Source organism: Homo sapiens, chromosome 16 (genome assembly GCF_000001405.40).
Source record: "Homo sapiens chromosome 16, GRCh38.p14 Primary Assembly".
NCBI classification, from domain to species: domain Eukaryota; kingdom Metazoa; phylum Chordata; class Mammalia; order Primates; family Hominidae; genus Homo; species Homo sapiens.
Genome location: NC_000016.10, coordinates 5,040,835 through 5,067,205, shown reverse-complemented (window position 1 = coordinate 5,067,205; position 26,371 = coordinate 5,040,835). Strand labels below are relative to the sequence as shown.

General features: G+C 48.0%; 1 protein-coding gene and 1 long non-coding RNA gene across 7 annotated transcripts in view, besides 1 other annotated feature; one reads left to right on the top strand and one right to left on the bottom strand.

Annotated features, from left to right (window-relative positions):
• On the top strand, window positions 1,250–24,434 carry C16orf89 (chromosome 16 open reading frame 89). 6 transcript variants are annotated; one of them, XM_017022974.2, is made up of 9 exons: window positions 1,250–1,505; window positions 4,632–4,781; window positions 6,770–6,920; window positions 8,596–8,713; window positions 11,018–11,153; window positions 11,856–11,960; window positions 12,495–12,589; window positions 19,242–19,328; window positions 24,190–24,434. In XM_017022974.2, the coding sequence occupies exons 1-8, from the start codon at window positions 1,298–1,300 to the stop codon at window positions 19,302–19,304; spliced, it is 1,026 nt and encodes a 341-aa protein (XP_016878463.1). In that variant the 5' UTR covers window positions 1,250–1,297; the 3' UTR covers window positions 19,305–19,328; window positions 24,190–24,434. The 6 variants fall into 6 exon arrangements, with proteins under 6 accessions (XP_016878463.1, XP_016878461.1, XP_005255200.2 ...); XM_017022972.2 differs by lacking the exon at window positions 24,190–24,434 and adding an exon at window positions 22,728–23,084; XM_005255143.4 differs by lacking the exon at window positions 12,495–12,589.
• Window positions 7,044–7,338: a silencer, noted in NCBI's record as "tiled region #9075; K562 Repressive non-DNase unmatched - State 21:Repr". NCBI's record gives its function as "represses a minimal TATA promoter and a strong SV40 promoter by Sharpr-MPRA in K562 cells {active_cell/tissue: K562}" and the evidence as "EXISTENCE:reporter gene assay evidence [ECO:0000049][PMID:27701403]".
• NAGPA-AS1 (NAGPA antisense RNA 1) overlaps window positions 24,235–26,371 on the bottom strand; it is a 9,270-nt gene continuing 7,133 nt past the window's right edge. Inside the window, exon 2 of the long non-coding RNA NR_038913.1 lies at window positions 24,235–25,111. This is a non-coding gene — a long non-coding RNA (NAGPA antisense RNA 1). The remainder of the gene's footprint in view (window positions 25,112–26,371) is intronic.

Here is a 26,371-nt window from a genome sequence, read left to right as displayed (position 1 = left end):
TACTCAGTCTCAGGTATTCTGTTGTAGTAGCACAAAACTAAGACACTGCCCAGTATACCAGCTACATGTGACTATCAAGCCCCTGAAATATGGATAGTCTGAATTGAAATGTGCTTAGCCTGGCATGGTGGCTTACATCTGGAGTGCCAGCTCCTTGGGAGGCTAAAGCGCGAGGGTCCCTTGAGCCTAGGAGCTCGAGACTGCAGTGAACTATGACCACATCACTGCACTCCAGCCTGGGCAACAGAATGAGACCCTGTCTCTTAAAAATAAAATAACAAAATAAAACAATTGTGTTGTGAACATAAACTACTCATCAATTTCAAAGACTTAGTATGACAAAAATAAAAACAAATCATTTCTATATTGATTACAGATGTAATTATAATATTTTAAATAACTGGGTCAAATAAACTAGATCGTTAAAATTAACTTCACCTGCTTATTGCTGCTTTCTTAGATGTGGCTACTAGGAAATTTCGAAATGCACACATGGCTCATCTTTGTAGCTCCAATTCTATTTCAATTGGACGGTGCCCCTTTAAGGAAGTTTGCCTCAGTTCAAGGCAGACGTGCCCTCAAATGAGTTTGTTTCAAATTTATTTAAAACAAAGCCTGGGTGTGGTGGCTCCAGCCTGTAATCCCAGCACTTTGGGAGCCCAAAGAAGGTGGCTCGCTTGAGGCCAGCGGTTCAAGACCAGCCTGATCAACATAGTGAGACCCTGTCTCTATTAAAAAAAGCTACAAAAATTAGGCAACATGGTGGCACATGCCGATTGTCCCAGCTATTCAGGAGGCTGAGGCAAGAGGATCTATTGAGCCCAGGAGGTCAAGGCTACAGTGAGCTGTGATCAAACCACTGCACTCCAGCCTAGGCAAGAGAATGAGACCCTATTTCAAAAAACAAAGAAAAAAAAATTCGTTTTGCTTTCAGAGCTTTTGGATTTCTGGGTTGAATTGCAATTGCTAGATCAAAGATCTAGCCTGTGAGCCTGGAGAATCAGGGCTGAGAAGGACAGGGCGGGCAGCCCTCTCCCCAGCATCCCGTGGACAGCAGGCTCTACGCCCAGGACTGGCCTAACCTCCGCTGCCTAACCGTCATCCCCCTGCAGCCACCCTTCCCAGAGTCCTTTGCCCAGGCCACCCCAGGCTTCTTGGCAGCCCTGCCGGGCCACTTGTCTTCATGTCTGCCAGGGGGAGGTGGGAAGGAGGTGGGAGGAGGGCGTGCAGAGGCAGTCTGGGCTTGGCCAGAGCTCAGGGTGCTGAGCGTGTGACCAGCAGTGAGCAGAGGCCGGCCATGGCCAGCCTGGGGCTGCTGCTCCTGCTCTTACTGACAGCACTGCCACCGCTGTGGTCCTCCTCACTGCCTGGGCTGGACACTGCTGAAAGTAAAGCCACCATTGCAGACCTGATCCTGTCTGCGCTGGAGAGAGCCACCGTCTTCCTAGAACAGAGGCTGCCTGAAATCAACCTGGATGGCATGGTGGGGGTCCGAGTGCTGGAAGGTGAGTGAGCCCCAATTCCTCTGGCTGGACACTGGGAAGCTAGCTCTCAGCTTTGTCCCCTGCCCTGCTCTGTACGCCTGGGACCTGGCAGACTCCTGGCCCCAGTATAGCCTGCCTCGGCTATAAGGAGAGAGGAGGCCAGGGGCTGGATCTTCCTGGCGGCTGTGGCCCAGCTAACTGTTACGCAATTTTTTAGAAGTAGGAAAGATTTAAAGGCAACATGGGAAGGGATTTGGGAATTATCTTTTTCTCAGAATGAAATGATCCATTTGACAGCCCCTCCTCACAACGCCACGAACAAGGGGAGCAGGGAGAGTGCCCCGTTAACAGATATTTGTGGGAAGACCCCTCCCCTTGAATGAGGTGGCTGTGGACAAAACTGAGGACCCTCAAGATCGGGTTCCCACCCCACTTCCTCCACTTGCAGCCAAAGTCTCCTGAAGGTTCTGCAAAAACAGTCAAGTGTTTGTTTAGCTTTGAGAGCTATAAGATCCCCAAGAAGGGGGCTGGAGACAGGCCAAGGTAAACACACACATGCGCACATCATGCACACACACACAAGCACACATGCACGCACGCACACACACATGCACATCACACACACAAGCACGCATGCACGCATGCACACAAGCATATCACACACACACACAAGCACACAGGTGGCTCCCACAGGGCTGGGTGCTTCCTGGGGCGCATGTGATAGCAAAAGCTGTAGTTCACTAAGTATCTGCTCAATGTGGGCACAACCCAGGTGCATTGCATGGGGTACTTCAGTGCCCTCTCCCCGTCATCCCTGAGGTTACACCCATTATTATTATCCTCTTTTAGCAAAGAAGGGAGGGGGTTCTCTTAATCATGACTGGGCAGCATTCACTGGGAAAGCGGCCCCACCTAACAGCCTCAGACCAGGGTCCCCACTCCTTGGCAGCTGCAGTGAGCCCGGCTTCTCCACCCACGCCACATCCCACATCCACTGCCCCTTCTCCTCTCAATAATCTTGCTCCATAACAGATTCCCTAGGAATTCAGTGCTTAATACAACCACACCCGTGAACTGTGCCCAGAAGGGAGCAAAGGCAGTGCCAGTGCCTAGAACAGAGCTTCAGAACTGGACTGCCCAGGTTCAAATCCTGGATCTCCCCCAACTGGCTGCATGGCACTGAGTTAACTGCTCTCGTGGAGTTTTGGTTTCCTCATCCTTCAGCTGCAGCTGGTGGATGGGAGTATCACACGATCATGCACATGTGTCTCATGAGATTGTGTGTATATGTCATCTTACCAGTGGGGCTCAGTACTTGTCAGCCATTACTGTTTCCATCTATCAAAGCATTGAGCATCCTTGACTAGCAGCAACGGCTTCCTCACCTGTGTCTCTCTAAACAATGAGCTCCCAGTGGGCAGGGTCTACGTCCCATTGCAGTGGTCCCCAACCTTTTTGACACCAGGGACTGGTTTTGTGGAAAGCAATTTTTCCATGGACTGAGGTGGAGGGGAGGGTTTCAGGACAATTCACGTGCATTAAATTTATTGTGCACTTTATTTTTTATTTATTATTATTATTATATTATTATTATTTTGAGACGGAGTCTCGCTCTGTCGCCCAGGCTGCAGTGCAGTGGTGCCACCTCAGCTCACTGCAACCTCCACCTCCAGGTTCAAGCGATTCTCCTGCTCAGCCTCCCAAATAGCTGGGACTACAGGTACCCACCACCACGCCCGGCTAATTTTTGTATTTTTGGTAGAGATGAGGTTTTACCATGTTGGCCATGCTGGTCTTGAACTCCTGGACTTAAGTAATCCACCTGCCTCGGCCTCGCAAAGTGCTGGGATTACAGGCGTGAGCCACCGTGCCCAGCCCACTTTCTGTTTATTGTTATTATGTTATAATATATAATTATACAACTCGCCACAATGTAGAATCAGTTGAAGCCCTGAGACTGTTTTCCTGCAAGTAGATAATCCCGTCTGGGGGTGATAGGAGACGGTCTCAGATCATCGGGCATTAGATCCTCATAAGGTGTGTGCAGCCTAGATCCCTCGTATGTGCAATTCACAACAGGGTTCACACTCCTGTGAGAATCGAATGCAGCCACTGATCTGACAGCAGGCGGAGCTCAGGCGGTAGTGACAGCGAATGATGGGGAGTGGCTGTAAATTACAGATGCAGCTTAGCTCGCTCACCCACCACTCACCTCCTGCTGTGCGGCCCCATTCCTAACAGGCCATAGACCAGTAATGGACTGGAGGTTGGGGACCCCTGTCCTATTGGACTTTGTAGACCCGGTGCAATCACAGGAGGAGACACTCTGACACACAGGGAGCCCCTCCCTGTCAGCACTCCCAAGCCTTTACTTCTTCCCTGCGGGTTTGCCCATGGAGGGGGCTGAGCAGAGGGGGCGTGCCAGAGCCGGTCGCCCTGGAGGACTACCTCAGCATCCTTCTTAACCTAGCCCATCCTCCCTAACAAGGTTCCTACCTGACTGCAGCTGCCCCACTTCATCCCTCGCCCTCTCAGCCCTGCGTGAATGCTCTCACTCGGATGTTCTCACTCATGTCTCCCCAATTTCTGGCCACCTCTGGATCTTCACCATTGTCTCCCACCTCAACAAAGCCACTGCTAGCCCACAGGGTACCTCTGTGGGAATTAGAAAAAGGCACTTCCTTCCTGAAGTCACTTGACAGCCATCTGCTGGGAAATTGTCTTACTGCATATACAAACCCATGATCCAAATGTGTGTTGCCCTTGTGCAGTGTACAACCTGCTCAACTGTACACAGTGGTTCTCTACCCTGCAACCTTTCTCTGGCCATCCAACAAGAAAGTATATGAGTCAAGGATTTGAGGATTTGAACCTCAAGTATCAAAGATTTGAACCCAGGCCCGCCTCCAGAAACCAAGCTCTCAGCCACCACCTTCTACTACTCTGACACCCATTCTCATTGCCCAGATCACCCCCATCCTGGCCTCATTTCCAGTCAGCTCAGTAAATCCTTCCCCTCTGAGTGCTGGAGAAGGCAGAGAGGCTCCCAGGAAGCATTAGACTTTGGGGCATTTTTTTTTCTTGTTCCAAGGCAAAAAAAGGTCCCGATTCCAAATAGTTGAATGAATTAACTCTGTTCCCTTCCAGAGCAGCTAAAAAGTGTCCGGGAGAAGTGGGCCCAGGAGCCCCTGCTGCAGCCGCTGAGCCTGCGCGTGGGGATGCTGGGGGAGAAGCTGGAGGCTGCCATCCAGAGATCCCTCCACTACCTCAAGCTGAGTGATCCCAAGTACCTAAGAGGTGAGCACACGCAGGGTGTCCCATTCCCTCAGGAATAGCGCCTATGGGGATATTGACTGAAATAACCCAGCGTGGGCTCTCCTGGGGCAAGGCTGGGCTGGGACAGTCCGTAACCAACTTGGACCTGTCTGCTGAGCAAGCCACAGACGAGCCCTGGGGACGTGCGGTCATCCTTGACTTCAGACTCTGACGGGCTCTCCTACCCACACAGAGGTGTGCAGAGGAAGCAGGGTGTCTTCTCTCAAGCATTCAGCGCACGCACAAGCTGGAGGTCCTGGTCCTAGACTAGAGCGGAGAGGCTGGGCTGTCCCAGAGGGGAGAGTATCCAAAAGGCAATTCAACCCTTTGCACAGCAAACAGTAGTGTCCCATGTCACCAAATTATTTTAATCCACTTCATTAAATGTCAGTAGAAATTCCCGAAGTTGTCCACACACTATTTTTCAAAACAGTGGGGTTTATCTTTCTCATGCCTTATGACCACTGAGAGTCTCTCTCTCCTCACCAGCCCCGAGTGACCCTGCAAAAGGTCCCATCTAATAAGTTTGGCTGAGTTGTTCCTGGATGGCAAGGGCGGGGCACAAATAACCAGTCCATCATGCTGCTCCAACCCTGTCCCCTCTGCTCCCCACTCCCATCAGATGCATGGGGGTGAGCGGGGAGGTAGCCAGGCCACGCTTCATGCTCACACGGCAGTCCAGCCGCAGGGACCATAGCCCATGCTGACCTTTCCAATTTTAAGGTCCCCCACCCTCTCCCAGGCCTGGTCCCTAACACTGTCCCCACCTATGTCATCTTAAAGATATCTATGACTGGGCATCTGTTTAGTTAAGAGCTCCACGTTCTCACCAAACCAAAAGGTCTACCAATATCACCTCCCCACTAATTCCACCTCCCCACTTGTTTTTTTTTTTGGGGGGGTTTTTTTTTTTTTTTTTTTTGAGACAGTGTCTCACTCTGTCTCTCTTTTTTTTTTTTTTTTTTTTTTTTTTTGAGACAGAGTCTCACCCTGTCGCCCAGGCTGGAGTGCAGTGGTGCGATCTCAGCTCACTGCAACCTCTGCAACCTGGGTTCAAGTGATTTTCCTGCTTTAGCCTCTCTCAAGTAGCTGGGACTACAGGCATGCGCCACCACGCCCGGCTTTTTTTTTTTTTTTTTTTTCTTGAGATGGAGTCTTGCTCTGTCACCCAGGCTGGAGTGCAGTGGTGCAATCTCGGCTCACTGCAAGCTCTGTCTCCCGGGTTCATGCTATTCTCCTGCCTCAGCCTCCTGAGTAGCTGGGACTACAGGCACCTGCCACCACACCCAGCTAATTTTTTGTATTTTTAGTAGAGATGGGATTTCACTGTGTTAGCCAGACTGGTCTTGAACTCCTGACCTCAAGTGATTCGCCCGCCTTGGCTTCCGAAAGTGCTGGGATTATAGGCGTGAGCCACCGCTCTTGGCCCTGCCTCTTAAAAAAAAAAAAAAAAAAAAAAAAGGCTGATCATAGCTCACTGCATTCTCCAACTTCTAGACTCAAGCAACCTTCCTGCCTCAGCTGGGACTACAGGTGCACACCACCACACCTGGCTACTTTTTTTATTTTTGTGGAGACAGAGTCTTGCTATGTTGCCTAGGCTGGTCTTGAACGTTGGGCCTCAAGCGATCTTCCTTCCTTAGCCTCCCCAAGTGCTGGGATGACAGGCGTGAGCCCTGCACCTGGGAAACTAAACCTTTTATTTATCTGGGGTTTCCATGGGATGCAGTGGGTTTAGTCAAATCCCGTCCCATCACTGTTCCTATTGATTAGGGGAAAAAATGGTTTTATAAGCAAAAGGAGCTTTCTTGAGTGTTTCAAACCCAATCTGGGACCAGGGGACAGGGCTTAGAGCCCTGAGCTGCACCTGCCAGTGGGCAGGGCTGCAGGAGGAGGTGGGGACACCAGGGTGGCCCACTGCTCCTGGGTCACCCCCACACCCCACCCCATCTATCTGTCCTCTCTGCCAGAGTTCCAGCTGACCCTCCAGCCCGGGTTTTGGAAGCTCCCACATGCCTGGATCCACACTGATGCCTCCTTGGTGTACCCCACGTTCGGGCCCCAGGACTCATTCTCAGAGGAGAGAAGTGACGTGTGCCTGGTGCAGCTGCTGGGAACCGGGTGGGCCCTGCACTTGCCCTATTTGCTGGAAACCCAAACGCACTAGTTCTCAGCTGGTCCTGTCCCGCTCCTCCTTCTCCAAGCCCTAGGGCTGAAGCCAGGGGTTTGTGCAGACACAGGTGCAGCTCCCTGTAGCTGCCGGGTACTGCCCTCTCCTACTCCAGCAGGGTCCCCCTTGCTCCAGCCGCCCGCTGGCCTCCCATGCCACAGCAGGCCTTCCAGCAGCCATGGCTGAACACACCACCTCCAGGCCCCAGGACAAATCCCCAATTCCTCTCCGCAGTTCCAAGTCTCCAGGCCCCTAGAGGCCTCTTTTCAGACTCTCCAAGGCTTCCTCCCACTTCAAAGACTTTGCTCCCCCCACCCCACCCACTCCACCCCCTGGGCCTCAGGAAGTCTGCCCATCCTCCAGGGCTGGCGCCAGCATCCTACCTCCAACCCCATCCTATCTCTGACCCCAGCACATAGCAGACCTCCTGTGAGGGCCTCTCCTGGCACCTCTTATAGCCACAGATGCAATTTACATTTGTATTATGAGCCTGTCCCCATCCCCAGTGAGGATGCAGCTCCAGGAAGACAGGACTGAGCCTAGCTGGGCTCCTCATTTTATCCTGGTGTTTGGTGGGCTTGGAACAAGGCCCCAGGGCAGCCCTAGGTGCAGGGCCCATGGGCAAAGTGGGCAGCCGGTGCCCAGGCCGCATCCTGTCAGCATCCTTCAGAGCAGTGCTTAGGCCAGGACACAGCTGGATTCACGGAGGGGCTGGGCCCCAGCCAAGGACCTCTGCTTTTTAAAAATTTTTATTTATTTTTATTTTTTTGAGACAGAGGCTCACTGTCCCCCAGGCTGGAGTGCAGTGGTGTGTTCTTTCTCGGCTCACTGCAAGCTCCTCCTACCAGGTTCAAGTGATTCTCATGCCTCAGCCTCCTGAGTAGCTGGGATTACAGATGTGCGCCACCATGCCCGGCTAATTTTTGTATTTGTGTGTGTATTTTTTATTTTTACTTTATTTTATTTTATTTTTATTTATTTATTTTGAGATGGAGTCTCGCTCTGTCTCCCAGGCTGGAGTGCAGTGATGCGATCTCAACTCACTGCAACCTCTGCCTCCCGGATTCAAGTGATTCTCAAGTGATTCTCCTGCCTCAGCCTCCCGAGTAGCTGGGATTACAGGCACGTGCCACCACACCCAGCTAATTTTTGTATTTTTTGTAGAGACAGGGTTTCACCATGTTGGCCAGGCTGGTCTCGAACTCCTGACCTCAGGTGACTTGCCTGCCTCAGCCTCCCAAAGTGCTAGAATTATAGGTGTAAGCCACCGCGCCTGGCTGGTGCAGGAGGAATAAGCATGTTGGGCCCAGATTCCAAGTGGTCTGGGTTCAAGTACCCACTGTTCGGGGCTGGAAAAGATGTGATTTGGCCCATGGAGCAATAGGAAGTTTCAGCCTTGGTGGCTTCCTCAACCCCAGAATAGCTCTAGCGTCATCTTTCCTGGGCTAGGGCAGCCAGATTTAGCAAATCAAAATGCAGGACTGCTGTATTGTCTCTGTCAACCCCCATGCCCAGCTGGGTGTCTGGAATCTACTGGGAGTTCCAACAACTACAACTAGGGGGCTGGGAAGACGCAGGGCAGAGTCAGCGCTCCATCCTTAACAGCTTGGAACCACTTTCCCCCAGGACGGACAGCAGCGAGCCCTGCGGCCTCTCAGACCTCTGCAGGAGCCTCATGACCAAGCCCGGCTGCTCAGGCTACTGCCTGTCCCACCAACTGCTCTTCTTCCTCTGGGCCAGAATGGTGAGTGCCCAGGGAGCCCCCGCCGTGCCAGGGGAAGGGGAAGGAAAAAGGAAAAGGGGCAGCCGGACGTGGTGGCTCATGCCTGTAATCCAAGCACTTTGGGAGGCCAAGGCAGGCAGATCACTTGAGGCCAGGAGTTCAAAACCAGCTGGGCCAACATGGTGAAACCCATTCTCTACTAAAAATACAAAAAAAAAATTAGCTGGACGTGGTGGCGTGCACCTGTAATCCCAGCTACAAGAGGAGGCTGAGGCAGGAGAATCACTGGAACCCGGGAGGCGGAGGTTGCAGTGAGTAAGATTGCGCCACTGCACTCCAGCCCAGGCAATGGACTAAGACTCTGCCTCAAAAAAAAAGAAAAAAGAAATAAATGAAAAAGGGCTCATGGCAGTGTAGTTCTGTCTGCTACACACCAGGAAAATAAGCAGAGCTTTGGATTTCTACTTGGGACCTCAGGAGGGAGAAGTAGGGCCCCTATCATACTCCTGCTGTGTAATTGAGCCGATTTGGGATCTGGCATTTGGGATTCTGTTAGGCCAGTGAAACAGATAGCTTTGCCTGCTGAACTGGACTGTAGGGCATCAGAAAAACACAACGAGAGAGAGAAAGAGAGAATAAAAGAGAATCATCAGAAAGAACTCTGTAAACAAAAACAAATGAATGAGGCCGGGCACGGTGGCTCACACCTGTAATCCCAGCACTTTGGGAGGCTGAGGTGGGTGGATCACTTGAGATCAGGAGTTCGAGACCAGCCTGGCCAACATGGTAAAATCCCGTCTCTACTAAAAATACAAAAATTAGTCGGGCATAGTGGCATGCACCTGTAATTCCAGCTACTCGGGAGGCTGAGGCAGGAGAATCGCTTGAACCAGAGAGGCAGAGGCTGTAGTGAGCTGAGATCATGCTACTACATTATATATGCCACTATATATATATATGCCGCTCTCTATATATATACATATAAAAAAATAGAAAAAGAAAAATATATATATGGTGGCATATATATATATATACACACACACCAGTATATATATTTCTTTTCTTTATATATATACTACCATACACACTATATATATATGCCACTATATATATACCACTATATATATACCACTATATATATATCACGATATATATAATCACTATATATACCACTATATATATACACCACTATGTATATATATACCACTATATATATATATACACATATATATATACATATATATATGTATATTTCTTTTCCTTCTTTTTTTTTTTTTGAGATGGAGTCTCACTCTGTTGCCCAGGCTGGAGTGCAGTGGCACGATCTCAGCTCACTGCAACCTCTGCCTCCCGGATTTAAGCAATTCTCTGCCTCAGCCTCCCAAGTAGCTGGGATTACAGGCACGTCCCACTATGCCCAGCTAATTTTTGTATTTTTAGTAGAGATGGGGTTTCACCATGTTGGCCAGGCTGGTCTTGAATTCCGGACCTCGTGATCCACCCGCCTCGGCCTCCCAAAGTGCTGGGGTTAGAGGCATGAGCCACTGTGCCTGGCCATATATATTTCTTCATACAGAAAGGTAGGGTTCATTATCTTCATTCAAAAAACAATGTGATTCAGTGTCCAGAAATCCTTAGCTGAGGAGACACTCTCTGTTTTTGTTCAACAGAATTTAAAAATTATTATTTCTCTGCAAGCTGTGACAGCCCAATATTTTTATAAATACAATAAAAACCATATTACAAGGGAATTATTTTGATCATTAGATTCAGCAGGTGGAAAGTAACTCTGACCACTGCTACAGAAGTGTCTAAAGCCTGCTGTCAACTCTTGTTCTTCTCTCCCAGTGTGGGGAGTCACCAGCCCGGTTCTTGGCCCACACTTTGAGTAGCACTGAAGCTGCCCGCGGGTTCAGGCTCGTTGTACATTGCATTGCCCCCGCGATCGGTCACAGAGCACCTCCTAGTGGCCCAGGCATCACATTGGGCACTTCCCAGCTGTGTCATCCCCCTACGAGAGCCCCTCTGGTGCCGTTTCTAGAGGCCTCGCCCTTTCCTGATAAAAACTCTTGAGGCTCAGAAAGGTTACTTTAGCAAACCAAGTGGTTTGCTCCTAAGTGGCAGAGCTGGATCTCGAACCCAGCAGGCTGGGGGTGTGCATGGGGAAGAAATCCTGCGAAAAGGAGAAAAAGACCTGCCCTAAACACAGCCCTAAACACAGCCCCTTGCAAGACCGTCTCAGAACTGCAAGACTTTCCCATAGCAGGGCGTGTGTCTGTCATCTGTACCACTGACTCCCTTGTCTTTGGGTGTTTGTCTCCCCAGAGGGGGTGCACACAGGGACCACTCCAACAGAGCCAGGACTATATCAACCTCTTCTGCGCCAACATGATGGACTTGAACCGCAGAGCTGAGGCCATCGGATACGCCTACCCTACCCGGGACATCTTCATGGAAAACAGTATGGCCAGCATTCTGCCCCCGGGGCAAAGGAACAGGGTGTCCCCCCACCAACACACACACACACACACACACACACACACACACACACACACACACACACACACACACACACGGAGTTGCCAGATTAAGCAAGTAAAAATACAGAGTGCTCAGTTAAATTTGAACTTCAGATAAGCAATGAATCCATTTTTAGTATAAGTTTATCCCAACTATTTCATGGGATATACTTACACTCAAAAATTATATTCATTGTTTATCGAAAACTCAAATGTAACTGGGCATCCTGTATTTTACCTGCCACTGTGTGACAGTTTCCTGCCCCCAAAGGCTGCCCCAGTGACGGAGCTCTACACAGATGGACCAGGTGACTGGCAGACAGACCCACAAAGCCTTATGGATGAGGCAGACAGGGAGCGCTTGGGAGGCTGCTAGCTGGCTGGGGTGTCCAAACTCCTCCACTGATCCTGACTTTGGAGCAGCCCTGACCAAGGCCCTCAGTGGGAGGCGGGACACAAGCATGGGAGCCCCTAGTTGGTCAGGCAAAGGCTCAAGCTGCCTCCTTCCCTCCTCTGCATTGAACGCCCACCTCCTAAGCCTAACCCAGGCAGATGAAGGCAGGTGGCACCGTGGCAGCCCTGGGGAGTGGGAGGAGGTGGGCCTGGGGGGCAGGCCTGCAGAGGGCCCCCGTCTTTACTTCCAGTCATGTTCTGTGGAATGGGCGGCTTCTCCGACTTCTACAAGCTCCGGTGGCTGGAGGCCATTCTCAGCTGGCAGAAACAGCAGGAAGGATGCTTCGGGGAGCCTGGTGAGCTGCGCTGCTGCCCTGGCTAAGAAGGGGGGCAGTGGGGGTGGGGGTGGCTCTGAGTTTCTAGGCCAGGTGTGGGAACAATGCATTGGTGTTAAGGTTGCCAAGGGATTTGTAACCTACAGGTGCACACACACAGACGTGTACACACAAGGAGAAACGGGCTCGGAGCCTTGGAAGCCAAAATGTGGCAAGACAGGAGGCCGTCTTATTGGAAGGTGTTGGCCCCTACAGCTGCATTAACAAGCCCATTTGTATTGTACTGTTTTTATGCTGATGATAAAGACAAACCCAAGACTGGGTGATTTATAAAGAAAAAGAGGTTTAATGGACTCACAGTTGCACACTGCTGGGGAGGCCTCACAATCATAGTGGAAGGCGAAAGGGACGTCTCACATAGTGGCAGACAAGAGAGAATGAGAAGCAAGCACAAAGGGAAACCCCTTATAAAACCATCAGATCTGTGAGACTTATTCATTACCGTGAGAACGGTATGGGGGAAACGGCCCCCATGATTCAATTACCTCCCACCAGGTCCCTCCCACAGCACATGGAAATTATGGGAGCTACAATTCAAGATGAGACTTGGGTGGGGACACAGCCAAACCACATCAGCATTCATTCAGCAAGTACGTATTGAGCACCCACTAATGTACCAGACACCATCTAGGCTCTAGGGAAAACTAGAGGCCTGAGGAAAAGAAACATAAATCACCTAAACAAACCAAGAAGTGAAATAATTGCACATTCTGATAAGAGCTATAAAGGAGACGACAGGGTGAGGAAGAAGAGAAGTCCAGGAAAGGCTCTCCAGGTGGGTGACTGGGAACAACTACATGGGAGGAGGTGACGTAGCAGAGGGTGGAGAGGCAGAGGACTCAGCCACTTCCCAGCCATGTGACAATGGACAGCTGGTCCCTTTGCAATAAGTCGCTTCACCCCTCTCAGCCTCAATTTCCCTGTCTGAAAATAAATGAGCATAGTAATCCCCACCTTCCTGAGCTGCAAGGAGAGTCAACGTAATACATTTGAAGCCGCATAGCCTGTGCCAGGTACACGGCAGCTCCCAGGAAATGCTAGTGTCCTCATTAGAAGCTTGGGATGCTCCACGAAGCAAAAGCTTTTGAAATAAGATGGTGCGTTTTTAAAAGAGTTTATACGATGAAGATTCTTAGGCCTCCAGATGTATAGCTTCGGCGGGTTGGGGATGGGGCTGTGGAACTTGCATTTTTGGCTTTATTATTATTCTCAATAGACATGTAATAATTGTACATATTTATAGGGTACAGTGTGATATTTCCATACATGTATACAATATGTAATGAGCAGACGCATCACCTCAAACATCTGTCATTTCTTTGTGTTGGGAACATTCCAAATTCGCTCTTCTAGCTATTTGAAAATACACAATAGGCTACGCCTTATAATCCCACCACTTTGGGAGGCCAAGGCAGGCAGATGGCTTGAGCTCAGGAATTAGAAACCGGCCTGGCCAACATGGCAAAACTCCATCTATACCAAAAATATCAAAAACATTAGCCGGGTGTGGTGGCGCACACCTATGGTCCCGGCTACTTGGGAGAATGAGGTGGGAGAATCACTTGAGCCCAGCAGGAGGCCGAGGCTGCAGTGAGCCATGACTGCACCACTGCACTTCAGCCTGGGTGACAAAGCGAGACACTGTCTTTAAAAAAAAAAAAAAAACCACAAATTGTTGTTATTTGCAATCACCCTATAGTGCTATGGAACGGTACCACTTATTCCTCCTCCTGGCTGTACTAGTGCATCCCCTAACCAACCTCTGGTTATCTCCTCTCCCCCATCCCCCTCCCCACCTCTAGTAACCACTATTCAACACTCCACTTCTTTTTTTTTAGAGATGGAGTCTCGCTCTGTCACCCAGGCAGGAGTGCAGTGGCACTATCTTGGCTCAATGCAACCTCCGCCTCCCAGGTACAAGCGATTCTCCTGCCTCAGCCTCCCGAGTAGCTGGGACTACAGGTGCATGCCACCACGCCCAGCTAATTTTTGTATTTTTAGTAGAGAGGGGGTTTCACCATGTTGGCCATGCTGGTCACGAACTCCTGACCTCAAGTGATCCACCCACCTCGGCCTCCCAAAGTGCTGGGATTACAGGCACCCTGCCTCAACACTGCACTTCTATGAGATCAACTTTTTTAGCTTCCACATACGAGGAAGGACATGCAACATTTATCTTTCCATGCCTGGCTTACTTCAATTAGTATAATGTCCTCCAAGTTCATCGATGTTGCTATGAATGAAAGAATTTGGTTATTTTTATGGTGAAATAGTACTTCATTGGGTCTGTGTACCACATTTTCTCTGTCCATTCATCTGCTGATAGAAACTCAGGTTGCTGTATCTTGGCTACTGTGAATAGCGCTGCAATAAACATGGGGGTGCAGATGTCTCTTCAACATACCAATTTCCTTTCCTTTGGATAAATATCCAGTAGTGGGATTGCTGGATCATATGATAGTCCTATTTTTAGCTTTTTGACAAATCTCCATACTGCTTTCCATAATGTCTGTACTAATTTACATTCCCATCAACTGTGTGTAAGAGTTCCCCTTTCTCTTCATCTTTGCCAGCATTTGTTATCTGTTGTCTTTTTTTTTTTTCTTTCTTTCTTTTTAGACAGGGTCTCACTCTGTCACCCAGGCTGGAGTGCAGTGGTGCGATCTCGGCTCACTGCAACCTCTGCCTCCTGGGTTCAAGAGATTCTCCAGCCTCAGCTTCCTGAGTAGCTGAGACTACAGGTGGGAGCCACCAACACCCGGCTAATTTTTGTATTTTTTGTAGAGACAGAGTTTCGCCATGTTGCCCAAGCTGATCCAGAATTCCTGAGCTCAAAGTGATCCACCAGCCACGGCCTCCTAAAGTGCTGAGATTAGAGGCGTGAGCCACTGCGCTTGGCCATTTTTTGTCTTTTTGATAGTAGCCATTTTAACAGGTGTGAGATGCTATCTCATTGTGGTTTGATTTGCGTTTCTCTGATGATTAGGGATAGTGAGCGTTTTTCATAGACCTGTTGGCCATTTGTATGCCTTCTTTTGAGAGATGTCTATGCAGCTCATTTGCCTTTTTTCTTTTCTTTTTCCTTCTTTTTTTTTTTTTTTTTTTTTGAGACAGTCTCGTTCTGTCACCCAGGATGGTGTGCCGTAGCACAGTCTTGCTCACTGCAACCTCCACCTCTCGGGTTCAAGCGATTCTCCTGCCTCAGCCTCCCGAGTAGCTGGGATTACAGCCACCCACCACCATCATGCCCGGCTAATATTTGTATTTTCAGTAGAGACAGGGTTTCTACATGTTGGCCAAGCTGGTCTTGAGCCCCTGGCCTCAAGTGATCTGCCTACCTCGACCTCCCAAAGTCCTGGGATTATAGGCGTCAGCCACCGCACCTGGCCATATTTTGTTTCCTATAGCCTTGAAGCATATTTTGAAGTCCAGTAATGTGATGCTTCCAGCTTTGTTCTTTTTCCTTAGGATTGCTTCACTATTTGGGGTCTTTGGTGGGTCTATACAAATTTTAGGATTTTTTTTTCTATTTCTGTGAAGAATGTCATTGGTATTTTGATTCAATCTGTAGATCACTTCGGTAGCATGGATATTTTTCACAATATTAATTCTTCCAATCCATAAACATGGGATGTCTTTTCATTTTTTGTGTGTTCTCTTCAATTTCTTTCATCAGTGTCTTTTACAGTTTTCCTTGTAGAGATCTTTCACCTCCTTGGTTAAATTTATTCCTGGGTATTTTGGTTTTAGCTCTTATAAATAGGATTACATTCTTGATTTCTTTTTCTGCTAGTTCATTGTAGGTGTATGAAATGCTACTGATTTTTTGTATGTTTATTCTGTATTCTGCAACTTTGTTGAATTCATTTATCAGTTCTAAGAGTTTTTTTGGTGGAGCTTTTAGGGTTTCCTGTCTATCAGATCATGTCATCTGCAAACAGGTACAATTTGACTTCCTCCTTTTTCATTTGGATGCCCTTTTTTGTTTCTCTTGCTTAATTGCTCTGGCTAAGACTTCTAGTATTATGTCAAATAAAAATGGTGAAATTAGGCACTCTTGTGTTGTTCCAGTTCTTACAGGAAAAGCTTTCAACTTTTCCTCACTCAGTGTAATGTTGGCTGTGGGTCTGTCATATATGACCTTTATTATATTGAGGCACATTCCTTCTATACCTAACGTATTGAGAGATTTATCATGAAGGGATGTTAAATTTCATCACATGCATTTTCCTGCATCTATTAAGATGATTATATGATTTTTGTCTTTCATTCTATTGGTGTAATGTATCATATTTATTGATTTGCATATGTTGAACCATCCTTGCATCCCTCCAATAAAGTCCCCTTGTTCATGATGAATGATTTTTTTTAAAATGCAAAACATTCATTACTTACTGGAAGTGGTCAAAGTAGGAAAGCCATGAATGGTTTTTAATGTGTTGCTGGGTTTGGTTTGCTAGTATTTTGTTAAGGATTTTTGCATCTAGGTTCATCAGGGAAATCGGCCTATAGTTTTTTTGTTGTTGCTTTGTCCTTGGCTGGTTTTAGTATTGGGGTAATGCTGAACTTGTAGAATGAGTTGGGAAAATTTTCCTCCTCTTCAATTTTCTGGACGAGACTGAAAAGAATTGGTATTTGTTCTTTAAATATTTGGTAAAATTCAGCAGTGAAGCTGTCAGGTCCTGGGCTTTTTGTTTTGGGGAGACTTTTTATTACACATTCAATCTCATTACTCATAATTGGTCTGTTCAGGTTTTCTATTTCTTCTTGGTTCAATTTCAGTATGTCGTATGTGTCCAGCAATTTATCCATTTCCACTAGGTTTTCTTTTTTTTTTTGGAGACAGAGTCTTGCTCTGTCACCCAAGCTGGAGTGCAGTGGCGCAATCTCAGCTCACTGCAACCTCCACCTCCCGGGTTCAAGTGATTCTCCTGCCTCAGCCTCCCAAGTAGCTGGAATTACAGGCGCCCGCCACCATGCCTGGCTAATTTTTGTATTTTTAGTAAAGACTGAGTTTCATCATATTGACCAGGCTGGTCTCGAACTCCTGACCTCAAGTGATCTGCCCACCTTGGCCTCCCAAAGTGCTGGGATTACAGGCATGAGCCACCACACCCAGCACACTCCACTAGGTTTTCTAATTTGTTGTTTATAATAGTCTCTAATGATCCTTTGTATTTCAGTGGTATCAGCTGTAAAAGTTCCTTTTTCTTTCTGATTTCATTTACTTGAGTCTTTTCTCTTTTTTTCTTAGTCTAGTTAATAATTTATCTGTTGATCTTTTTTAAAAACCAACTTTTTGTTTCATTGATCTTTCCTATTGTTTCTTTAGTCTCTTATTTATTTCTGCTCTGATCTTTACAATTTCTTTCCTTCTACTAATTTGGGGCTTGATTTGGTCTTGCTTTTCTAGTTCCTTGGGATGTATCATTAGTTCGTTATTTGAAATCTTTCTGCTTTTTTGATGTAGGTATTTATTGATGTAAATTTCCCTCTTAATACTGGTTTTGCTATATCCCATAGGTTTTGGCATATTGTGTTTCTATTTTCACTTGTGTTAAGAAATTTTTAAATGTTCATCTTAATTTCTTCATTTGCTCATTGGTCATTCAGGAACATGTTGTTTAATTTCCCTGTATTTGTACAATTTTGAAAGTTCCTCTTGTTATTGATTTCTAGTTTTATTCCATTGTGGTCAAGAAGATACTTGCTATGATTTAAATTCTTTTAAATTTGCTGAGACTTGTTTTTTGGCCTAACATATGGTCTATTTTGGAGACTGTTCCATGTGCTGATGAGAAGAATATATATTCTGCAGCAGTTAGATGAAATGTTCTGTAAATGTCTGTTAGATTCATTTGGTCTTAAGTGCAGTTTAAATTCAGTGTTTCTTTGTTGAGTTTCTGTCTAGATGATCTGTCCAATGCTGAGAGCAAGGTGTTGATGTCTTCAGCTATTATTGTATTGGAGTCTATCTCTCCCTTTATATCTAATAACATTTGCTTTAGGGTTCTCCAGTGTTTAATACATATATTTTTTGAATTGTTATGTCCTCTTGCTAAATTCCTTATCATTATATAATGACCTTCTTTGTCTCTTTTTACAGTTTTTGACTTAAAGTCTGTTTTATCTAAGTATAGCTACTCCTTCTTCCTTCTGGTTTCCATTTATGTGGAAGATCTTTTCTCACTCTTTCACTTTCATTCCATATGTGTCTTTACCAGTGAAGTGAGATTCTTGTAGGCAGCATATAGTTGGGTCGTTTTTTTTCATTCATTCAGCCACTCTATATATCTTTTAAGTGGGGGACTGAATCAATTTGCATTCAAGGTTATTATTGGCTTGTGAGGACTTACTCCTGTCATTTCATTAATTGTTTTCTGGTTATCTTCTATATCCTTTGATTTTTTTTTCTTCCTTTCTTATTGTTATCACTGCTGTTTGGGCTTTTCTCTAGTGATAGTTTTGCTTCTTTTCTCTTTCTTCTTTCTATTTCTCCTCTACCAGTAACTTTTATACTTTTTCATGTTTTCATGATAGTTATTATTGTCTTTTTCTTTTCAGATGTAGGATTCCCTTGAGCACTTCTTGTAAGGCCAGTCTAGTGGTAATGAAATCCCTCAGTTTTTTGCTTATCTTGGAGGGACTTCCATTTTTAACAGGCACCTCCAGTGGTTCTGATGGTGGGTGTTTGGGGAGCCACAGTTTGGAAAACCATCAGTAGATGACAAGTTTAGGCCATGCAAAAGGATCTGCAGACAGGTGCAGGAGGAAACTTCCGGAATAGCCTCAAGTTTCAAGAGAAGACCTAACTTCCTTGAAATGTTATGGGGGCAGGAGGTTTAGTGAGTAACATTTAAAAATTCAGCTTGAGACCAGCTGCAGGGGCTCACACATATAATCCAGTACTTTGGGAGGCCAAGGCTGGAGGGTCACTTGAGCTCAGGAGTTCAAGTCCAGCCTGGGCAACATAGCAAGACCCCATCTCTACCAAAAAAAAATTTTTTTTAAATAGCTGGACATGGTAGTCCATGCCTGTAGTCCGAGCTACTTGGTAGGCTGAGGCAGGAAGGATTCTGTGAGCTTGGGAGTTCGAGGTTGTGGTGAGCTATGATTGCGTTACTGCACCCAGCCTGGCCAATAGAATGAGACCCTGTCTCTACAATAAAAGCAGTAAAAAGAAATAAAAATGTAAAAAATAAAAATCTCTCTTGAGAAGTTCAACTTTTGCTCTTCTCCCAGATGCTGAAGATGAAGAATTATCTAAAGCTATTCAATATCAGCAGCATTTTTCGAGGAGAGTGAAGAGGCGAGAAAAACAATTTCCAGGTAATGAAAATACCCAAGGGAGTTTCTTGACATGAAACTAAGATATCCTAGCAAAACAGAGGCCTGTGTTTATTCTCTGCTATGGAAGAAAAGCACTTGGCATCACCAAAGGGGCACTAATCAGAGGGCCTTCATGTTGAGAGGTGGAAGGGAGGCTGGGGGTCCCTGATGGCCTCCTCTTAGAAAGTGGGGAGATAGCCTGGGCAACATAACAAAACCCTGTCTCTACTAAAAATACAAAACTTAGCTGGGCATGGTGGCACACGCCTGTAGTCCCAGTTACTCGGGAGTCTGAGGCATGAGATTTACTTGAACCCAGGAGGTGGAGGCTTCAGTGAGCTGAGATCGCACCACTGCACTCCAGCCCAGGTGACAGAGCAAGACCCTGTCTCAAAAAAAAAAAAAAGAAAGAAAGAAAGTGGGGAGTCCAAGAGATACTGTCTTTTGTTAAAGGAGCATAAAAGAGAAGTTTCAGTTGTTAAAAATAGCAACAGTAACCCTTCTAAGTCAAGGTCTGGTCAGGAAAATAGAACCTGCGTCAGGAACTTCAACAGAGGGAATTTACTAGAGGAAACTCATCTCAGAGGTGTTGTAAGAGCTGAAAACAGAAAAGGTGGAAAAACCCAGAGATTTTACTGTTGCAGGAAGCCACTACCCTCCCTAGAGCTGGAGAATGGCAGGAGGAGGCAGTGTTAATAGGGCCTGCAGGGGCTGAACAAGGGGGAGACAGAGAGAGGAAGGGAGAAATATTCTGGCTTCTCCCCTCATTCCACCTGCACCTCCTGTTGGTCGAAACCAGTAGGCAAGACATCCTGGGAAATGTAGTTTGGAGGGGTCTGTGTGCTGGAGTTTGGAATAAGGAAAGGCAGAGAAGGGACCCGAAAGCCAATGAATGGGCAAGTGACCAGAACAGTTTTGGTGGCCACACAGCCCAGTGCTCCCAGAGCTGCCCCAGTTTACACCTGTTGTCTTGGAGCCATTATGAATAGTGCCCTCTTTCCTCCAAAGTGTCCTGGTTGCGACAATAAACTGTATGGTCAGTTGGCCAATGTAAAGAAAGTGAGAACAGGATATAAGTATATTGGGATGGGAAGAAAGGCAAGAAATAACGTAGAAGAAAGTCAAGAAATAACGTAGAAGAAAGGGAAGGAGGGGGACACAGGAAGGGAGGAACCAAGAAGAAAGAGAGGACTTTGATTTCAATTTTTCATTAATAAAAAATAAATAGGACAGCCACAGTGGCTCATGCCTGTAATCCTAGCACTTTGGGAGGCTAAGGCGGGTGGAACACCTGAGGTCAGAAGTTTGAGACCAGCCTGGCCAACATGGTGAAACCCCATCTCTACTAAAAATGCAAAAATTAGCCAGGCGTGGTGGTGCATGCCTGTAATCCCGCTACCTGGAAGGCTGAGACAGGAGATCTGCTTGAACCCAGGAGACAGAGGTTGCAGTGAGCTGAGATTGTGCCACTGCACTCCAGCCTGGGTGACAGAGTGAGACTGTGTCTCAAAAATAATTATAATAAAATAAAATAAAATAAAATAAAAAATAAATAAGTGCAGGCAAAAACAGGAAGGGATATGGAATAGCCAGCTCACAGAGTGGATGTCCAACATATGTGGGTATATGATTCCAGTAACTAAACATCTCTCCATCAACCCCACTGTGGCCTCATCATCCACCTACAGGTGGACAGGAGAGAGTGAAAGCAGAAATCCAGTGAGTCAGTTTCGTAGCTGCCACCAAAAGTCACGCAGGAGAAGGGAGAGAAGTTCCCAGGAGACTTCCAGAGGTCCTACCCTAGCTAGGCCTTTATGACACAGAGGGGCTGGGGCTGCCTATGGCTAGGGTGGTAGGGGCCTGCTGTGTACTACCTGGTCAGCTGCCCGTCCCCAGAGCCCAACACGAGGACTGTCCTAGGGACTGGAGCGGAAGCCACAGAAATTCCAGAGCCCAAGGCCTTTCCTGGAACACCTCCAGGTTGACCAGCAGCCTAGAAAACTGCCCAGGAGGGGTGTGCTGATTCTTGCACTTATGACACAAGCCCACGGAGCAGGAGGCAGCTGGTGTAGAGATTAGGAGCACAGGGTTTGAGGTCAGGTTGTGTGGGTTCGAGTCCCGCTTCTGCCTCTAACTTGCTGCGAAAGTCACACAACCTCACTGAGCCTCATTTTCCTCATCTGTAAAATGGGCACCAAACTGTTGGGGGCTAACAACTGATCATCGTGCAAAGCCCTCCCCATTGTATTTGGCATACAGTAGGCCACTGAGAGGCATGAGCTGCCAGGGTTAGTCATTCGGCACCTTGAAATCTGCATTCTCCCTCCCTTCAACGGACCTGGCTGGGGTCCCCTCCCCTTCCCAAAGTCTCTGGGTAGGGAGGAAAGAATTCCTGGCTCCCTTCCACAAGCAGACAGATTGTGAGACTAGAGGCGTGCAGCCCACTTTGAGCTCAAAGAACTAACTACACCTAAGGGTTATTATCTCAGGCAAGTGCTCAGGCCTGAGACTCTGACTCCATGAGCCATGAGGTCACACGGGACCAGGCAGACCAGAGGCAACTAAGAGGAAGGCCACTGGGGTCAGGAAATGAGCTGTGGAGTCACCAGGGCCAGGGGCTCAGCTCGGCTACCCAAGCCTCAGTTTCCCCATCTCAGAAGGTCTTACACAGGACCTGGGACAGGACTCCGGTGCGTGGGTTTATTGAGGTACGTAAGTCAGGGAAGCAGGCTAAGCCAGGCAGGAGCTGGACAGGATGCGGCCTCAGGCCAGATCCCCCCGCAGGGGTGGGAGGGGAATGCCTTGGAGCATAAATTGCACCAGAGTCATCCCCCTGGGCCAAGGTGGCCAGGCTTTTGTATCCCTGTATTGGTAAGTTATTTGGGAGGGACATACCTCCCAGAGAAGGGAGCCCTTAGCAGCTGGCGGAAGAGCACCCGGCCCAGCAAAAGGGGCCTAAGGGAGCACCGAAGCACCCACTCAGCGTCTTGCAAGTTGCCTGGAATGACATCTGAAAAGCACTTTTTTTTTTTTTGAGACAGATTCTCGCTCTGTTGCTCAGGCTGGAGTACAGTGGCGCAATCTCGGCTCACTGCAACCTTTGCCTCCTGGGTTCAAGCAATTCTCTTGCCTCATCCTCCCGAGTAGCTGGGACTACAGGAGCGTGCCACCATACCTGGCTAATTTTTATATTTTTTTAGTAGAGACAGGGTTTCATCATGTTGCTCATGCTGGTCTCGAACTCCTGATCTCAAGAGATCCGCCCACCTCAGGCTCCCAAAGTGTGGGATTATAGGTGTGAGCCACCGCGTCTGGCTGAAAAGCACTTTCAATGAGACTGTGTTGAATAAAGGGCCAAGGTTCTTGCCACCCAGCACTCATGGGGGCTCTCTCCCCTAGATGGCTGCTCCTCCCACAACACAGCCACAGCAGTGGCAGCCCTGGGTGGCTTCCTATACATCCTGGCAGAATACCCCCCAGCAAACAGAGAGCCACACCCATCCACACCGCCACCACCAAGCAGCCGCTGAGACGGACGGTTCCATGCCAGCTGCCTGGAGGAGGAACAGACCCCTTTAGTCCTCATCCCTTAGATCCTGGAGGGCACGGATCACATCCTGGGAAGAAGGCATCTGGAGGATAAGCAAAGCCACCCCGACACCCAATCTTGGAAGCCCTGAGTAGGCAAGGCCAGGGTAGGTGGGGGCCGGGAGGGACCCAGGTGTGAACGGATGAATAAAGTTCAACTGCAACTGACCCAGGGTTGAGTCTTGTTTCTCAGCTTTGAGGACAACCTTGGACAACCTCTTGGTCTGTTTCAACTCTCCAATCCCACTCAACACAAATTCTTTTTTCTTTTTTCCTTTTTTTTTTTTTTTAATTAATAGATGAGGTCCTGCTCTGTCACCTAGGCTCACTGCAGCCTCAAACTCCTGGGCTCAAGCAATCTTCCCATCTCACCTCCTGAGTAGCTGGGACAACAGGTGTATGCCACCATGCCAAGCTAACTTTTAAATTTTTTGTAGAGATGGGATCTCACTACATGGACTTGGCTGGTCTCGAACTCCCGGCCTCAAGTGATCCTCTTGCCTTGTCCTCCCAAAGTGCTGGGATTACAGGCATGAGCCACTGCACCCAGCCACAAATTCTAAAAAGACCCATAAACTGATATCTTAAAGGCTATTTGTTCAGGTACCAAATATAGTATCTTTCCCAGTGGGAGAAGGAAGGGTCTTGGAAAAAATAGTTCAGGTCATGAGCCAGAACTCAACAGATAACCCTGAAAGGCAGCACATACTCATTTTTACATCCTGAGCACAAAACTCTGCTGTATCATTACATTGCATCACATGGCCATCATGTCATTTTACAAAACACAGTATAGCATAGCGGTTGATGGTGTGGTTCTGTGGCCAGGCTGCCTGAATTCAAGTCCTAGCTGTCTGTGTCCTTGAGCAGTCACCAACTTCTCTGGGACTCAGTTTTCTCATCAGTAAAATTGCGATAATAATAACCCCTACCTTGGAAGGGCACAGTGGCCCGCCCCTATAATCCCAGCACTTTGGGAGGCTGAGGTGGGAGGATCGCTTGGATTCAGAAGTTCGAGACCAGCCTGGGCAACATAACGAGACACCTCCCCACCAACCCTCACTGGGTGCAGTAGTGAACACCTGTAGTCCCAGCTACTCGGGAGGCTCACTTGAGGAGGGAGGATCACTTGAGCCCAGGAGTTCAAGGCTGCAGTGAGGTATGATTGCACCACTGCACTCCAGCCTGGGTAACAGAGTGGGAGTCAAAAAAAAAACAAAACCCAGCCCCTACCTCAATGTTACCTCCACTGCTGTGAGTATTGTGTTTCTAGAATACTGGAAATGGTGCCCGTAACATACTAAGTGCCAAGTAAACGTTACCTGCTGCCTCAAGTGATGACGTCCCATTAAGTGGGGGCTCCTCCGGAAGCTGCCAGAAGAGGCCGCTGCCTTGTCATCGGTTCTCTGGTTCCCAGCTTACAGCTCTTCCCTCGAGCTCTGACTCAGTGTGACTATATCTGAATGTGTTCCCTGGAGCTCTGACACTAATTTAGCAATAAAACCTTCTGGGACATTATGATGGGTTCTGGTGCTGTCTGTGGTGCTGATGACAGCCTGCACGCATTGGACTTTGGGGTAGAAAAACCAGCTGAAAACCCGGTCCCGGGGCTGCAAACCTCTTTACACGCATTGTCCTGCTTTGCCTCAAGGTGGAAAATCGCCACGGATCATCCTCATGTGGCAACTCAGTCATATGTGAGCATCCGAATGAAAATATCCTTGGCTGCTTCTGTGCCCAGCTGAGCAGCCCAGGTGGGTGGTGGGGCGCATGGTTCTTCTCGATCTTTCCTTTAGGAGGTAGGTTTCCCTTGACCTGATCCTCTGCTGCGGTCCTCTGAATGCCTTCCCATGATTGCTCTTAACTTGTCAGGCCTCGAGGAACATCCCTGGATTCTGCTGACAAGTTTGACTTGCTATCTGCAAGTTGCTGTTTTCTTGGGGGAACCAAGGGCCAGAATGTCATATCCACCCAGCAGTCTGTGAGCTTTAAGGATTTCTTTCACATTGTCTTGCAAACAAAAGTTTTCCCAAACAGGCACACCATCTTGAGAGAAGTCAGCCGCACATAAACAAATTGGGGGGATTATGCTCCACCTCTGTGCTTCCTGAATTGGGGATGGAGTCCTCACTGGAGCCTGACACTGGTTCATTTCAGAAGGCTTCAGTTACCAAACCAGGGAGAGGGTGAAATGACTGTGGAGGAAAGCGGAGCGTATGAGTCACTTTCAAGGAAAGGCAATCCTTGGCTCATGCCTATAATCCCAGCACTCCTGAACGGTGAGACCATACATTTCTGTGGTTTAAGCCTCCCAGTTGATGGCACCTTGCTACAGCAGCCCCAGAAACTAATGCAGCACCTGCCTCAAGGAGCTGTTCCTAGTCTCAGCAACAAGGTCCCTGCAGCCCAACCACACCCGTGGGGAAGCAGATGACCCGTCCTGATGACCTGGTTCACAGCCTGATCCTCTATTTAAAGGATCGATGTGAAACCGAAAATTAAAAAAAACGTTCTCAAGGTGGGCGGATCTCTTGAGGTCAGAAGTTCAAGACCAGCCTGGCTAACATGGTGAAACCCCATCTCTACTGAAAATACAAAAATTAGCCATGCGTGGTGGCTCTCGCCTGTAATCCCAGCTACTAGGGAAACTGAAGCAGGAGAATCGCTTGCACCTGGGAGGCAGAGACTGCCGTGAGGGAAGATCATGCCACTGCACTCCAGCCTGGGTGACAGAGCAAGACTCCATCTCAAAAAAGCAAAAACAAACAAACACAAAAAGAACTTTCTCAGTGGCATGCCACAGCCCAACTGTAGCCCAAAAACTCCCTGGAATTTATCCACTCAGCACACACATCCAGCCCACATGGAGTTCACGTCCCTTGCAAGGCTCTCCTATCTTTCTGAATACTTTTCCCCTGACATCCACGTGGCTCACACTCCACTTTGCCCCAGTCTCTGCTCAAATGCCCTCTCATATGACCAGGCGCAGTGGCTCATGCCTAGAATCCCAGCACTTTGGGAGACCGAGGTGGGCGGATTGCCTGAGCTCAGGATTCGGAGACCTGCCTGGGCAACATGAGAAAAATCCATCTCCACAAAAAAACACAAAAATCAGCTGGGCATGGTGACCCGTGCCTGTGGTCCCAGCTACTTGGGAGGCTGAGGCAGGAGGATCACTTGAGACTTGGGAGATTGAGGCTGCAGTGAGCTATGATCATGCCATTGCATCCCAGCCTGGGTGACAGTGCGAGAACTTGTCTCAAAAGAAAAAAAGAGGGAACCCTCCAAAGGGCTTGAAACAAAACTCGAGGTCAAGACAAGGAGCACCCACAAATGAGTCAATGGTTCTCCTCGTTGGAGCAGAACAGCTCCTGACAGCCTCCTGTTCAAGTAGCACAGAGAGCAGAAAAACCAGTCACAGGCAGATTGTTTGGAGCGGGTGGGAGGAAGACAGG